Below are 13,532 nucleotides of genomic sequence, written 5' to 3' on the forward strand. Positions count from 1 at the left end.
TGGCCATGTACCACACTTATTATCAGCTTATTCCTCTTAAACAGAACCAATGAGTTTTCACAACTAAAAGAAAATTATCTGGCTATTCTGCATGCAAATGGTTTAGGCTGTAAAAGAAACGTCTCCTAGGCCGGGCGTGGTGGCTCACGCCTATAATCCAACCACTTCGGGAGGCCGAGGCGGGCAGATCACCTGAGGTCAGGAGTTCGAGACCAAACTGTGGCAAAACCCCGTCTCTACTAATAAAACAAAAATTAGCTGGGTGTGGTGGTGCACGCCTGTAATCCCAGCTACTCGGGAGGCTGAGGCAGGAGAATCCACGAGGTGGAGGTTGCAGTGAGCCAAGATCACACCACTGTACTCCAGCCTGGGCGACAAGAGCAAAGCTCTGTCTCAAAAAAATAAAAGAAATGTCTACTTTCCCAAAAAAGCAAGCATTCCTATAGAAAGTACCAATGAGTTGTTTTATTTATGATTTTGTAGGTATTTATTCATCATTGAAAATCAGTCTCTTATATCATGAACACACTTTATATAGCAATAATACTAGAACATGTTAACATTGTGAAATTGTTCACTTTGATACCATAGATATTAATTACCCACTGTAAGTATAGAGCTCCTTTGTTATTATGCAGTTATACCTACACTTATACACATACCATGCATATATGAGCATGTTTCACCTACCTGAAAACTGACATGGAGTTGCATGGATTTCCTAGGCACAGATAAGCACAAGAAGGAGGAAAGATCATCTCTGTCCTCATTGCGCTAATGGGCTGACTGAGGCATGTGGCGGGGAGAAAAATGTGGGCAAAACTGGCTTCGAGACCTAGATCTTCTAATTACTAGCTGTGTGATCTGGAACAAGTTACTTAATTTCTCTGAACTTCAGTTCTCACCTCTGTAAATCGGGGTTAATAATACCCTCCCTGTAGCATTCTTCTGAGGATTAAGTGAAATTAAGCATAAAGTGCCAAGCACATGGTAGACACTTTTCCTTTCACATAAACCCTAGAAACAAATGTTTCCTGCAGGTGGTTTGGTATCCTTCTGCTTTGTTAAGTGGTGCAGCATGTTCATAAAATATTGAGCTTGAAAAACCAAGTCAACTAAAAATGAAAGTTCCAGGACTTCCACTTGTAGAAGATGAAGTGGACACACTTTTCCCCACTTCTCCTGCCAAGTATAACTAAAATCCTGACATCAGATAGGAAACAAACATAAGAAGACTGTGAAAGGTGGAGTAAAGGAAGCCTGGCTAGAGATCTCAGAACTCACAGAACAACACATGGCTGAGTTGTTCTTCTTTTTTTTTTTTTTAAGACGGAGTCCGCTCTTGTTGCCCAGGCTGAAGTGCAGTGGCATGATCTCAGCTCAATGCAACCTCCACCTCCTGGGTTCAAGTGATTCCCCTGCCTCAGCCACCCGAGTAGCTGGGATTACAGGCATGCTGTATTTTTGTATTTTTAGTAGAGACGGCGTTTCACCATGTTGCCCAGGCTGGTCTCGAACTCCTGACCTCAGGTGATCTGCCCGCCTTGGCCTCCCAAAGTGCTGGGATTACAGGCGTGAGCCATCACACCAGGCAATTATTTCTATCCTAGACTTATAGTGAAGAAGACAACAACCTGGAAATGCCAAAGAGCACAGACAAAAAAAAAATATCCGAAAAAAGCTCATCTCTTCAGGAATGAAGCAGCCTAGCAAAATAGAAAACTTTTCAATAATAAATGCTCAACACCAGCCAAAAACCACAGAATCCCCACCTCCACCCATGCCAGCAAAGCCTGGGTGGGGAACCCAGACTCTCCTCACCTGTTGGGCTGTACCCCACTGGGGTGGGGTAAGAGAATGCTTAGTAGAGTGACTGGATTTTTACTACTGCCTACCCATAATGGAGCCACCCCTACTGCGCTATCAAAAGAACCACACGGAGAGCTGGAATTTCTATCCCTTCCCACCAATAATGCTTAATAATTAGCAATAATAATGATGATACCACTCAGGTATCAATGGAGATCCAGTAGAAACCTGGACTTCTGCATCCACCTAAGCAGTAATGAGGTGATGCCTACCCGTCCCTTGCTGAAGTCCTGCCAGAGAAAGCCAGCTTAAAACAAAAGGTTTTGATGTGATTCAGAGTCTAGTAACATAATACTAAAATATCCTGGTTTCAGCTGAAATCACTTGTCATATCAAGAGACAGGAAGATCTTAAATGCAATGAAAAATGACAATCAATAGATGCCAAGACTGAGATGATAGAGATTTTAGGATTACCTGACAAAGATTAAAAAGCAGCCATGATAAATCACTTCAATGAGCAATTATTAATATGTTTCAAACAAAGAGAAAAAAAAGCCTTGGAAAAGAAACTGACTATCTCAGAGAAGAAATAGATGACCTAAAGAAGAACCAGATGAAAATTTAGAACTAAAAAATAAATAACCAAAGTTATTTATCAATCAAACTCATTGGAACAGAGCAGGCTGAGCACAGTGGCTCACGCCTGTAATTCCAGCACTCTGGGAAACCAAGATGGGTGGATCGCTTGAGCCCAGACATCTGAGACATGCCTGGGAAACATGGTGAAACCTCATCTCTACAAAAAAATACAAAGATTAGCCAGGCGTAGTGGCATGCACCTGTAGTTCCTGGGCAAAAAAGTGAAATCCTGTCTCAAAAACCAGAAACAAACAAAAAACAAAAACAAAGAACAGAGAAAATAGGGAGAGAATCAGTGAACTGGAAAACAAAACAGTAAAAATGACCAATCTGAATAACAGAGCGAATATAGATTGAAAAGCAAATAACAGAGCCTCAGGGATTTGTGGACTATAACAAAAAATCTAACATTTATGTCATAAGTGTCCTAGAAGGAGAGGAGAAAGGAGGAGCAGATAGAAAAGTAATAGAAGAAAAAATGGCTGAACACTTCCCAAATTTGGCAAGAGAAATGAACCTACATATTCAGATGATGAGTGAATTCCAAACAGGATAAAGCCAAAAAAATACACATCAAGACACATCCTAATTAAACTTCCAAAAACAAAGGACAAAGAAAACATTTTAAAAGCAGCAAGATAAAAAAACACCTTACTTATATTGGAAAGACAATTTGAATGATGGTGATTTTATCATCAGAAAATATGGAAGCCAGAAGGAAGAGGTGAGAGAGTTTTCAAGTGCTGAAAGAAAAAAACTGATAACCCAGAGTCCTATATCCAGCAAAAATATCCTTCAGAAATGAAAGGGGAAAGGAAGACATTCTCAGAGGAAGGAAAACTAAGTGATATCTCCAACAGTCCTAATCTGAAAAATTAGCTAAAGAAAGTGCTCTAAACAGAAAAAAAAAAAAGAAAGAAAGAAAACAAAACCTTCAATATTAGGAAGGAAGAACAAAGCAAACAAAAATATAGGTAAATGCAATAGCCTTTTCTCTTCCTCTTGAGTTTTCTAAATTATGCTTGATGATAAGGCAAAAATTATAAAACTGGTCTGGTTCTTAATGTATATAGGTAAATTTAAAGACAAACATATTATAAATGGAAAGGATAAAGGGAGGTAAAGTTTCCGTACTTCACTAGAACTAGCGAAATGACAATAGAGGTAGGCTTTGATAAGTTATGTAGACACATAATCCAGCACCTAAAGCAACCACTAAAAAAGTCATGCAAAGGGACTCACTAGAAACCACTATAGATATATCAAAACAAAATCCTAAAAATTGTTCAGATAACCCACTGGCAGGCAAAAAAATGAAAACAGAGCTATAAAAAACAGGTAACAATGACAAAAAATAAAAGAGCAGACCTAAGCCCTAACATATCAATAATTACATTTAAAGCATTACGATTTAAAGATGGAGAACAGCATAGTTGATTAAAAACATATGACTCAATTATACGCTGTCTCCAAGAAACTCATTTCAAATATAACATACAGGAAGGTTGAAAGTAAGAAGATAGAAGAAGGTATACCACACAAACATTAATCAAAGGAATTAACTGAACGACAAAAATACAAATGATCTCATTTGAATATGGGCAGAAGACATGAAGAGACATTTGACTGAAGAAGACAGATGGATGGCAAATAAACACATAGAAAGATATTCAACATCACTAGCCATTAGGGTAATGTAAATCAAAGGCATAATGACATACCACTAGACATCTATCAGAATGGCTGACATAAAAAACGGTGACCCCACAAATGCTGGAGAGGATGTAAGAAAGCTAGATCACTCATATGCTGCTGGTGAGAATGTAAAATGGTACAGTCACTCTGGAAAATAGTTTGGCAGTTTCTAAAACAATGGAACATACAATGGCTATATGACTCAGCAATTTCACTTCTAGGCACTTATTCTAGAGAAGGATGATTTATGTTTACACAAAAATATGTACATACTGGTCAGGCACAGTGCTACGATCCCAGCACTTTCGGAGGCCAAGGCAGGAGAACTGTTTGAGGCCAGGAGCTCAAGACCAGCCTAGGCAACATAATGAGACCCCATCTCTATAAAAAATTTAAAAAAGCATCTGTACGTGAATGTTTACAGCAGTTTTATTCATAATGCCCCCAACCTGGAAATAATTCAGATGTCCTTAGACAGTGAATAGCTAAATAAACTATGATACAGTACATATAACCTGATGGAATACTACTCACCAATAAAAAGGAATGAAGTACTAATACATGCAACAGTCTTAATGAATCTCTAGACAATTATGCTCAGTGGGGTTGGGGAACACCAATCATGAATGGTTATATACTCTATGATTCCATTGATACAACATTCTTGAAATGACAAAACTATAGAAATGGAGAACATATTAGTGGTTGCCAGTGATGAAGAAGTAGGTGGAGGAAAGGGGAAGAAAATATGTGGAATCTTTGTGATAACAGGCATTTTTTGTATCTTGACTTTGTCAGTGTCAATATTCTGGTTGTGATACTGTACTACAGTTTTGTAAGATGTTACCACTGGGAGGAACTGGGTAAGGGGTACATAGGAACTCCATATTATTTCTTGCAACTGCATGTGAATTTACAATGATTTCCAAAATAAAATTTAATTTTCAAATGGGAAGCTTCAGGGGTGACTTGCAAATTGGTAAAGAGAGTAAGCAAAAGCAAAACAAAATAAATGAACAAAAACCAAACTTGGGTCGGGCGCGGTGGCTCACACCTGTAATCCTAGCACTTTGGGAGGCCGAGGCGGGTGGATCACCTGAGGTACCTGAGGTCAGGAGTTTGAGACCAGCCTGACCAACATGGTGAAACCTCGACTCTACTAAAAATACAAAATTAGCTGAGCATGGTGGCACATGCCTGTAATCCTAGCTACTTGGGAGGCTGAGGCAGGAGAATCACTTGAACCCGGGAGGCGGAGGTTGCAGTGAGCCGAGATCATGCCATTGCACTCCAGCCTGGGCAACAAGAGTGAAACTGTGTCTCAGAAAACAAACAAACAAACAAAAAACAAAAAACAAAACCGAACTCTTATGCAAACACAGATCTTTAAGGATAGAAGAGCCCTTAATTATCAGTGGGTTTGACCTCTGAATCTGAAGTTAGGAAAGGGCGGCCCAGAGATGAAGTGACTTGCCCAAGGATAAAGCTGGGCCTCTAACCCCCAAACAGGCTTGTTCTCAGACACCCAGCCTGCAGACCACAGCAAACAGGTGCTGCTTCTCTAGAACTGCTGATTAAGGTCCAGTAATACATTTGTGAGTGTGGCCAAGAGATTTCAAGCACCTTTTAAAACTGTGCAATCACCTGCAAAGCAAGGAAGGATTGCAGGAGTTATTTCCTAATATTTCACTTGGAATATTCAAATGCTTCTCTGCACCTAATAAAACTACTGTCCCAAAGACAAGAGGATCCTAATTTTCAAAGGTTACATTCAAAATGCATCAGTGCAAACACGGAATGAAGCTATTATTTATGTCACCAGCATTACATACACTGGAGAGCCAAGGCAATGGCAAACATTTGCAGGAAGCTTTGCAGTTTACTAACATTATTTCATTTGATTGCAGCAACAGTTCTGTGTGATGTGGGAATTAATGCCGTTTCCATTTTACAGATAAGGCAACTACCCCCTCACTAAAGTGACCAGACAACTCGAAGTCAGGAACTAGCAAACCGCAGAACGAGGGCTCCTACCTAGATTTTCTATCCTCAGTTACTGCTGCCTTTTCCTTGTATCATTGTGATATCTCTTCTCCTAGGCCTAGGGATGAGGTAGCGCCTAAATCGTTACAAAGCTAACTCCATCCCAGATATAAATTCCAGTCTCTAGATGCAAGTTAGGCCTAACTCCTTACCACCCTCCTCAAGAGCTTCTCTGCACCATCACATCATTTTGTACAAGATGCTGTTATTGTGGCTTACTGAACTATAATTGTTTACCTGTCATAGACTAATATTTGTATCCCCTACAACAGATGGCTATAAAATTGACTTAAATTTGTAAAAGTTGCCCCTCTTGTCATCTACACACATTGGGCTGTATGTACGAAGTCATGACTTCATGACTTCTAAGAAATTTAAAAGGCTTTTCATTTAGACCTTTGGAAGTTCCTCCAAGGCACTGGGGCAAGCAGGTATGTGTCAGCAGAGAAAAGGAAGTGGCTCTTCAGGATCTAAGAGAAGTGGAAAAAATAGCTTCACAACTTTTCTGGCAAAATGTGCAGTAACACTGAGGTTTATTCAGTTGCCTGTCATAGTAACTTATGAACCTAATTACACTGTAATGCACATCTGCCTTTCTTCAACTACTCAATACTTTGGTGTTGAATATGTTTGGCTTAAAATAAGTTTGGACTGAAGAAAAATAATGAGAAATGATAATCAATAGTACTAGTTCCTTGTCAGACTACTGATTTTCACAACCTTTAACTGAGTTATCATCATGCTAGTAGATGTGGGTGAAATATTTGTGGGGAGATGACTCAACTTTTAAACCTCTTTGTCTAGATTCTCCAGTTCCTGCTGTATTAAAGAAACCAAAAAATCTAACAGATAACAATGCAAACCTGACATTTTACAAGTGTTGACACCCCCCCAAAAAAATTCATTTTGGGGATTGTTTCATCAAAAAGAAAAAACAAGCTGAAAACAGTAAAGAGCAGCCAGGGATCTAGTGAAGAACTGATCCCACACTGGCTGCTGGAGGTGACTGAAACACTCAACAGAACTGGGGATTATGAGATGATCTGATATAGAGGGAAGGATGAAAAGCAGGATGAATCAGGTCAGAGGCTGACGAGAGATATAATGGGAGTCAATGCAAGGCTCTCTGTGACTTATGGGTCTCTTTAACTGCTCCCTCAACATTTTGGTTAAATGGCTTGTTATTATATCCTAGAGGAATTCCATGACTCATTGAAAATGGCTTCTGTGCCTCCTCTCTGGTAGGGAATCTCTTTCATTATGAGCAAGAGGTAACTCCAAGTTTCCATTCACATTATAAAGCTTTGGGACTCCTCCACCGCCATGCTGGGCGGTGCCATGGGCCCCTGCCACGGCACAAACACTGTTCAGATCCTTCCCTTTGGGGGTCATGGGGAAGGCACCAGCTCTAGGGAAGATTAAGGTCCTTCAGGTCTCTGTACTTAAAGTTTTAAAATATAATATAATAATTAAATTTAGAAGACCTATCTTGCCTTACACTCTGGAGAGCATGAGATGAAGCTTGGCAAGCTAACAGGTGGGGGCGGTGGGGGGTGGGGGCGGAGGGTTGGTAGAAAAGGAAGAAGGAAGGGAAGGGCATTCCAGGCAGAGGGTCTAGCATGGGCAAGGGCATGGATGTGTGGGAAAGTATACCAGGTTTAAAGAACTGCAGTAATTAGCAATCATTCATTAACTTTACATATATACACACACATGCACCCAGACACACACACACACACACACACACTCATTCATCACTTAATGATAGGGAGATGTTCTGAGAAATGCATGGTTAAGTGATTTCATCATCATGCAAACATCACAGAGTGTACTTACACAAACCTAGATGTATAGCCTACTACACAGCTAGGCTATTGCTACGAGGCTACAAACCTATACAGCATGCTACTGTACTGAATACTGTAAGCAACTGTAACACAATGTTAAGTATTTGTGTATCTGAGCATATCTAAACATAGAAAAGGTACAATAAAAATATGATATAAAAGATAAACAATGATACACCTGTATAAGGCAACGCCATCATAATCTTACAGGACCACATATGCAGTCTGTCATTGACCAAAACATCATTATGCAGTGCATGACTATGTGTGTTTTTTCTTAGCACTTGAGCTAGGCATTGTTCTAAAGGTTATAGTGGTGACCAACACAGACAAGTTCCCTTCCCCTAAGGACCACCGCCAAGCCACAGTTCCCAAGGCCATCATCAACATGCCTGTCTAGTGACTGGGGCAGAGACTTATCTTGCCCTACCTTCTGGGCAGGAAGGGGCAGGAAGAGATCATCATGGGAAGTGGACACAGTAGAGGTGCTGAAATAGTGGAGCCAGCGTTAGAAACACGATACACAGAACAGAAATTTCATTTCTGAGGCCTGTTGCTGTCAGCAAGTTCCAAGAAACACTGGTCATTGCTGTAGCAACTGATTTCACATGCATCAGGAGAAATCGTAACAGTATTAGTTCTCCCTGGAGACGGACAAAATTGGAACTGTCCACAATTAGAGAGTGTTCCCCATTTCTTCTAATGTTGCTGCTGGTGGCTTGAAACTTTTGCCTTCCTCTAACCACTTTGGGCGATTCAGTCCTCGGAGGCCTCCCATTTTTGTCCCTGAGGAGGATGGCCCTGCCCCGCACAGCTAAGCCATGTGTGGGCTGCTCTAAGGCCCAAGAAGCCAGGGTGAGGGAGGGGTGAAGAACACAGTGAGAAATGGCAGGATTCAGAGTTTAAAGTTCTGGGCTTGGGCACCAGTTCTACAGTTAGCCGTGTGACCCTTAAGTGATTTGCTTAACCTCTCTGTACCTCTGCTTCTCTATTTGAAAATAGTGTTATTAATATCTCTCTCATTGGATCAGCATGTGGAGCAAAGTAGATAATGGGTATGGAGATACTTTGTAAGTTTAAGAGCCACATAAACACCAAGTATTTGCCTAAAATAAAGGATCTTTTCTTCATTCTAAGAGATAAAATATCCCAAATGGTGATATTTCTTTAAAAAGTCCTTACCATGGTCTTCAGTTTACTTCTACCTATATTAAGGAATTCAAGGAAACTATCAGTGAAAGTACAAACTAACTCAATCCTGGGTCTGTCTCTGTCAGAGGCATGTGAACCAGAACAACTCCATCTTAAATAGGAGCTGGGTAAAATGAGGCTGAAACCTACTGGGCTGCATTCCCAGATGGTTAAGGCATTCTAAATCACAGGATAAGATAGGAGGTCAGCACAAAATACAGGTCATGAAGACCTTGCTGATAAAACAGGTTGCAGTGAAGGAGCCGGCCAAAATCCACCAAAACCAAGATGGCGATGAGAGTGACCTCTGGTCGTCCTGACTGCTACACTCCCACCAGCGCCATGACAGTTTACAGATGCCATGGCAACATCAGGAAGTTACCAGATATGGTCTAAAAAGGGGAGACATGAATAATCCACCCCTTGTTGAGCATATCATCAAGAAATAACCATAAAAATGGGCAACCAGCAGCCCTCAGGGCTACTCTATGCAGTAGCCATTCTTTCATTCCTTTACTTTCTTAATAAATTTGCTTTCACTTTACACTGAGGACTCGCCCTGATTTCTTTCTTGTGCGAGATCCAAGAACCCTGTCTTGGGGTCTGGATCAGGACCCCTTTCCTTTAACACCTCTGCCCCCATTGGTAGTCAGTCATGTGATCTGGGACAAGTCAGTTAACCATTTAGATCCTCAGGTTCCTCATCCACAAAATGAAAAGAGCTGATGTAGGGATTGGCTAATATATCTTAAAATTATCTGGAAAATATCCAATCAATGTAAGGCATCATACTTCTATTCTATTCTATTCTATTCTATTCTATTCTATTCTATTCTATTCTATTCTATTCTATTCTAATTTTTGAGATGGAGTCTTGCTCTGTTGCTCTGTTGCACTGTTGTGCATTGGCACAATTTTGGCTCACTGCAACCTATGCCTCCTGGGTTCAAGCAATTCTCCTGCCTCAGCCTCCTGAGTAGCTGGGACTACAGGCGCATGCCACCACACTAGGCTAATTTTTGTAATTGTAGTAGAGAGGGGGTTTCACCATATTGGTCAGGCTGGTCTCAAACTCCTGACCTCAGGTGATCTGCCCACCTTGGCCTCCCAAAGTGCTGGATTACAGGTGAGAGCCACTGTGCCCAGCCCTGTATATATTTTAAATGATACAGAGTCATTATCTGAGTTTGAAGTCAAAATGTTTCTATCAAAACGTTTCTAACAAAACATTTGCTGTCAACAGTCTTTATACAGGAAGAACTCTGAAATGAACTGCAGTTGAATATCTACCTTCTTAAGCAGATGCAGAGTGAGATAAAAATAATTTTTGTAGATGTGCTGAATGTCTGGGATTGTTGATATGTCATCTGTGGTAGATAAACAATGACCACACATTCTTTGCTATTCCCCTCATTAAGAGGTGATATCTATGTCCTCTCCCCTTGAACCTGCAGAGTGGGTTGGTGGGGGTGATCTCTGTGAAAACTTAACCAACAGAATACAGCAGAAAGAATGCCGTGCCAATTTCCAAGCTAAGCCTTAAGAGACCAGCAGCTTCCACTTTCTGACTCTTGGAAGATTTGTTCTTGGAGCCCTTGCAAGATGTCTGACTGCCCTGAGGCTGCCATGCTGGAGGGAGCCCAAGCTGGTTACTTGGAGAGGGCCTAGGAGGAGACAGTGCCAGGCCGCCCCCAGCAATTCCAACTCTCATCCCTGCCTGGCATGCCGGCTGAGACCCTGGATTGTGGCGCAGAGGAGAGTTGTGTCTGCTGTACAGTCTGAATTCCTGACCCACAGGACCAGAGCAATAATAATAATAATCAATTGCTTTAAGACACTCAGTTTTAAAATGCCTTGTTTCATGCAATAGATAACTGGAAAATCATCCAAACATGAGATGATAAAATGTTTGATGGCAATGTAACACGTGTATCACTAAAATGAAATTTCAGCCCCAACATTGCTCCAGTCTCAGAACAGGAAAAATTTTCCTCTGGCTATAGCTGCAGTGAGAAATCATGGCAAACTGGGGTGATGCCTCGGTATTTCCAAGGACACCAAAAAGGAAAAAAGCCTCACTGGGTTTTATAAATCAACAAAATATATGTAGATTAAATGCCTTCTGTATAAATACAGCAGAAACATAAAGAGTCTAAAATTCTAAAAAGCGATAAAAAATTTTCTAGGTAAAGCAAAGGGGGTTCTGGATTATCTTTCCCTCAAGGTAGAGGTTAAACGCCTGACTGGACAGTAACTTAAGGACTGTGTAAATGAGAACAGATTTGGCAAATGATTTTGCAACTCCAAGAGAGGTGACTGAGAAAGATTCGAATGTTAAACTCATTTGTTTGTGTATATTTCTTATTTTTTGTATATTATGATGATGTTTTAACATCCTTAAAAAAACCCTTTCAGGCTGGGGAGAGACTACACCTCCCTCCAGGGCTAGGTAATTCTCAAAGATAGCCAAGGGCCCAGAAAGGAGCATGCCTTTGTTATGCAAACTAACCAACCTAGAGCCACACCTCCTCTACCTGGCCCATAGAACCCAGGAAGCAATGCTCCTCTCTCCTAATCATCCCAGGGCCAGGTACCAAGCAACTAGGGACCACATCTATAGTTTAGACCTATCGGAAATTATTCAAACTAGCCGTTCCTAACCTGTTTACCCTGCCCTGCCTGGCCTTTCCCATGGAAAGCCTAATAAAGGCAGTGAACAAAGCCACACAGCTTTAACTTGTACAGGGCTACACATCTGAAAACAAAACCTGTCTCTACTGCTAAGTTGTGAAAACTCTATATTAAGGTTATATGCATATACTTTGATAGAAAAACAAGATGAATGCAATCTCCTTGCCTGGTGATATAAACCAAATATGTTTTACTAATAGCCCATGTTAATAGAGAGCAGATGGCAAAAAATGTATAAAGGTATGACTCATTCCTATCTTGAAATACTTCACTATTCCCTACGATCAGTAGAAGTCAGATCTCCCATTGTCTGTTTCCCGACACGGTGCTTTTATTTTTCTTTGAGAAAAGCCACAGTACAAACAAGTGAGTTGGGTTTTTCATCCCTTTACAGATCTTCCACATTCCCTGTTGCTTGTTTTCTGCTTGTAGGCTGATGAGGCAGGAGGCAGACATGAACGACTCAGAGGAATGTAAGAGAAATATGAATGTGTAATTAAAAGAATTACATGTCTGCCTTTTTGTGCCTTTAATTTAGAAAGTCAGTGGCTTAAATCACCTACTTCACAGCATGAGTAATGCACAGAAAGTCGGTGCTGAAGCCACATTTGAAAGGACTCTGCCACCCAGACTGAAGCTGAGTGGCACTTCCTTCACTCAGTTGAAATACTTCAGTGATTCCAGTGATTGACCACTGATGGTAGTCTTATCTAGACATTCCTGCCAGTGTTTTCAAATAGACTCCAAACTGCCATTCAAGCATTTTAAAATATCTCCAACTTAGTTCCTCGATGAGAAGCCAAGAGTGAGTTTTATGCATTTGGGTCACACCAGCTGGATTGGAGCTAAAAGTTCTCACCCATCATATTAATCTTTGGATACCAATCTACAGGACAGGCCTATCCAGTCAACCCAGGCAAATTACTGCTGGGTGAGTCACTGGATTGCTGTCCCCTTCCCAGGACAGTCTCAGTAGGCCTTCAGATGGTCCAGCAAGCCACATGGCTGAGAGTACAAAGGCCTTTCACACTGTCATGTCTGTCCAGCCCTGTAAGGTAAGAGTCACCAGGGTTAGGTAGTGGTCTCCTTGCCAGGTGATTTGTCCCTTTTCAGTCAAGACATAAACCCTTAAGAACACCTATGATTAGGACTACGTAATTTGCCAGACAGGTATCTAACTTGGGGCACCTTTAAGGGTAGAAAATACGCAGTTTAGCAATGGTAACCCCAAAGTATTCCTTTATTTCCGACGGCCTCTTTTAGCAATACATCCAGACCATGCTCTCTTTCCTAAGCCCTCAGTTCAATTTCTTTATCATCATTCCTCTCCTAAACCTCTCAAAATCAAATGTTTGAGTATAATTTTTGTGCCACTCAATTGACTGATTCCCCTATTTGTTAAACATTGAATAAAATGTTTATTAAGTGCCAGGCCATATGCTAAGAACTCAAGATATACAAATGCATACTCATTAAAAGAAAAATTCAAACAAGGAGCAATATATAAGGTAAAAATGTGAGTTTCCTTTACCTTTTCCAATTTTACCCCCCAGAGGTAACTACTGTTAATAGTTTATATTTTTATAGATTATTTTATAAATATATTTTATAGATT

General features: G+C 40.7%; 1 protein-coding gene across 2 annotated transcripts in view, besides 2 other annotated features; it reads right to left on the reverse strand.

Moving 5' to 3' along the window:
* Window positions 1-13,532, reverse strand: part of COLEC12 (collectin subfamily member 12) — a 183,965-nt gene that overhangs the window by 92,394 nt on the left and 78,039 nt on the right. The window lies entirely within an intron of this gene.
* Window positions 10,714-10,907: a silencer, noted in NCBI's record as "fragment chr18:419844-420037 (GRCh37/hg19 assembly coordinates)". NCBI's record gives its function as "represses an EF-1alpha promoter that drives an FKBP-Casp9 reporter gene in an ReSE screen in HepG2 liver carcinoma cells {active_cell/tissue: HepG2}" and the evidence as "EXISTENCE:reporter gene assay evidence [ECO:0000049][PMID:32094911]".
* Window positions 11,454-12,005: an enhancer, noted in NCBI's record as "OCT4 hESC enhancer chr18:420584-421135 (GRCh37/hg19 assembly coordinates)". NCBI's record gives its function as "activates a minimal SCP1, AML or CMV promoter by ChIP-STARR-seq in primed H9 embryonic stem cells {active_cell/tissue: H9 hESC(primed)}" and the evidence as "EXISTENCE:reporter gene assay evidence [ECO:0000049][PMID:30033119]".

This window comes from Homo sapiens, chromosome 18 (assembly GCF_000001405.40).
Source record: "Homo sapiens chromosome 18, GRCh38.p14 Primary Assembly".
NCBI lineage: Eukaryota > Metazoa > Chordata > Mammalia > Primates > Hominidae > Homo > Homo sapiens.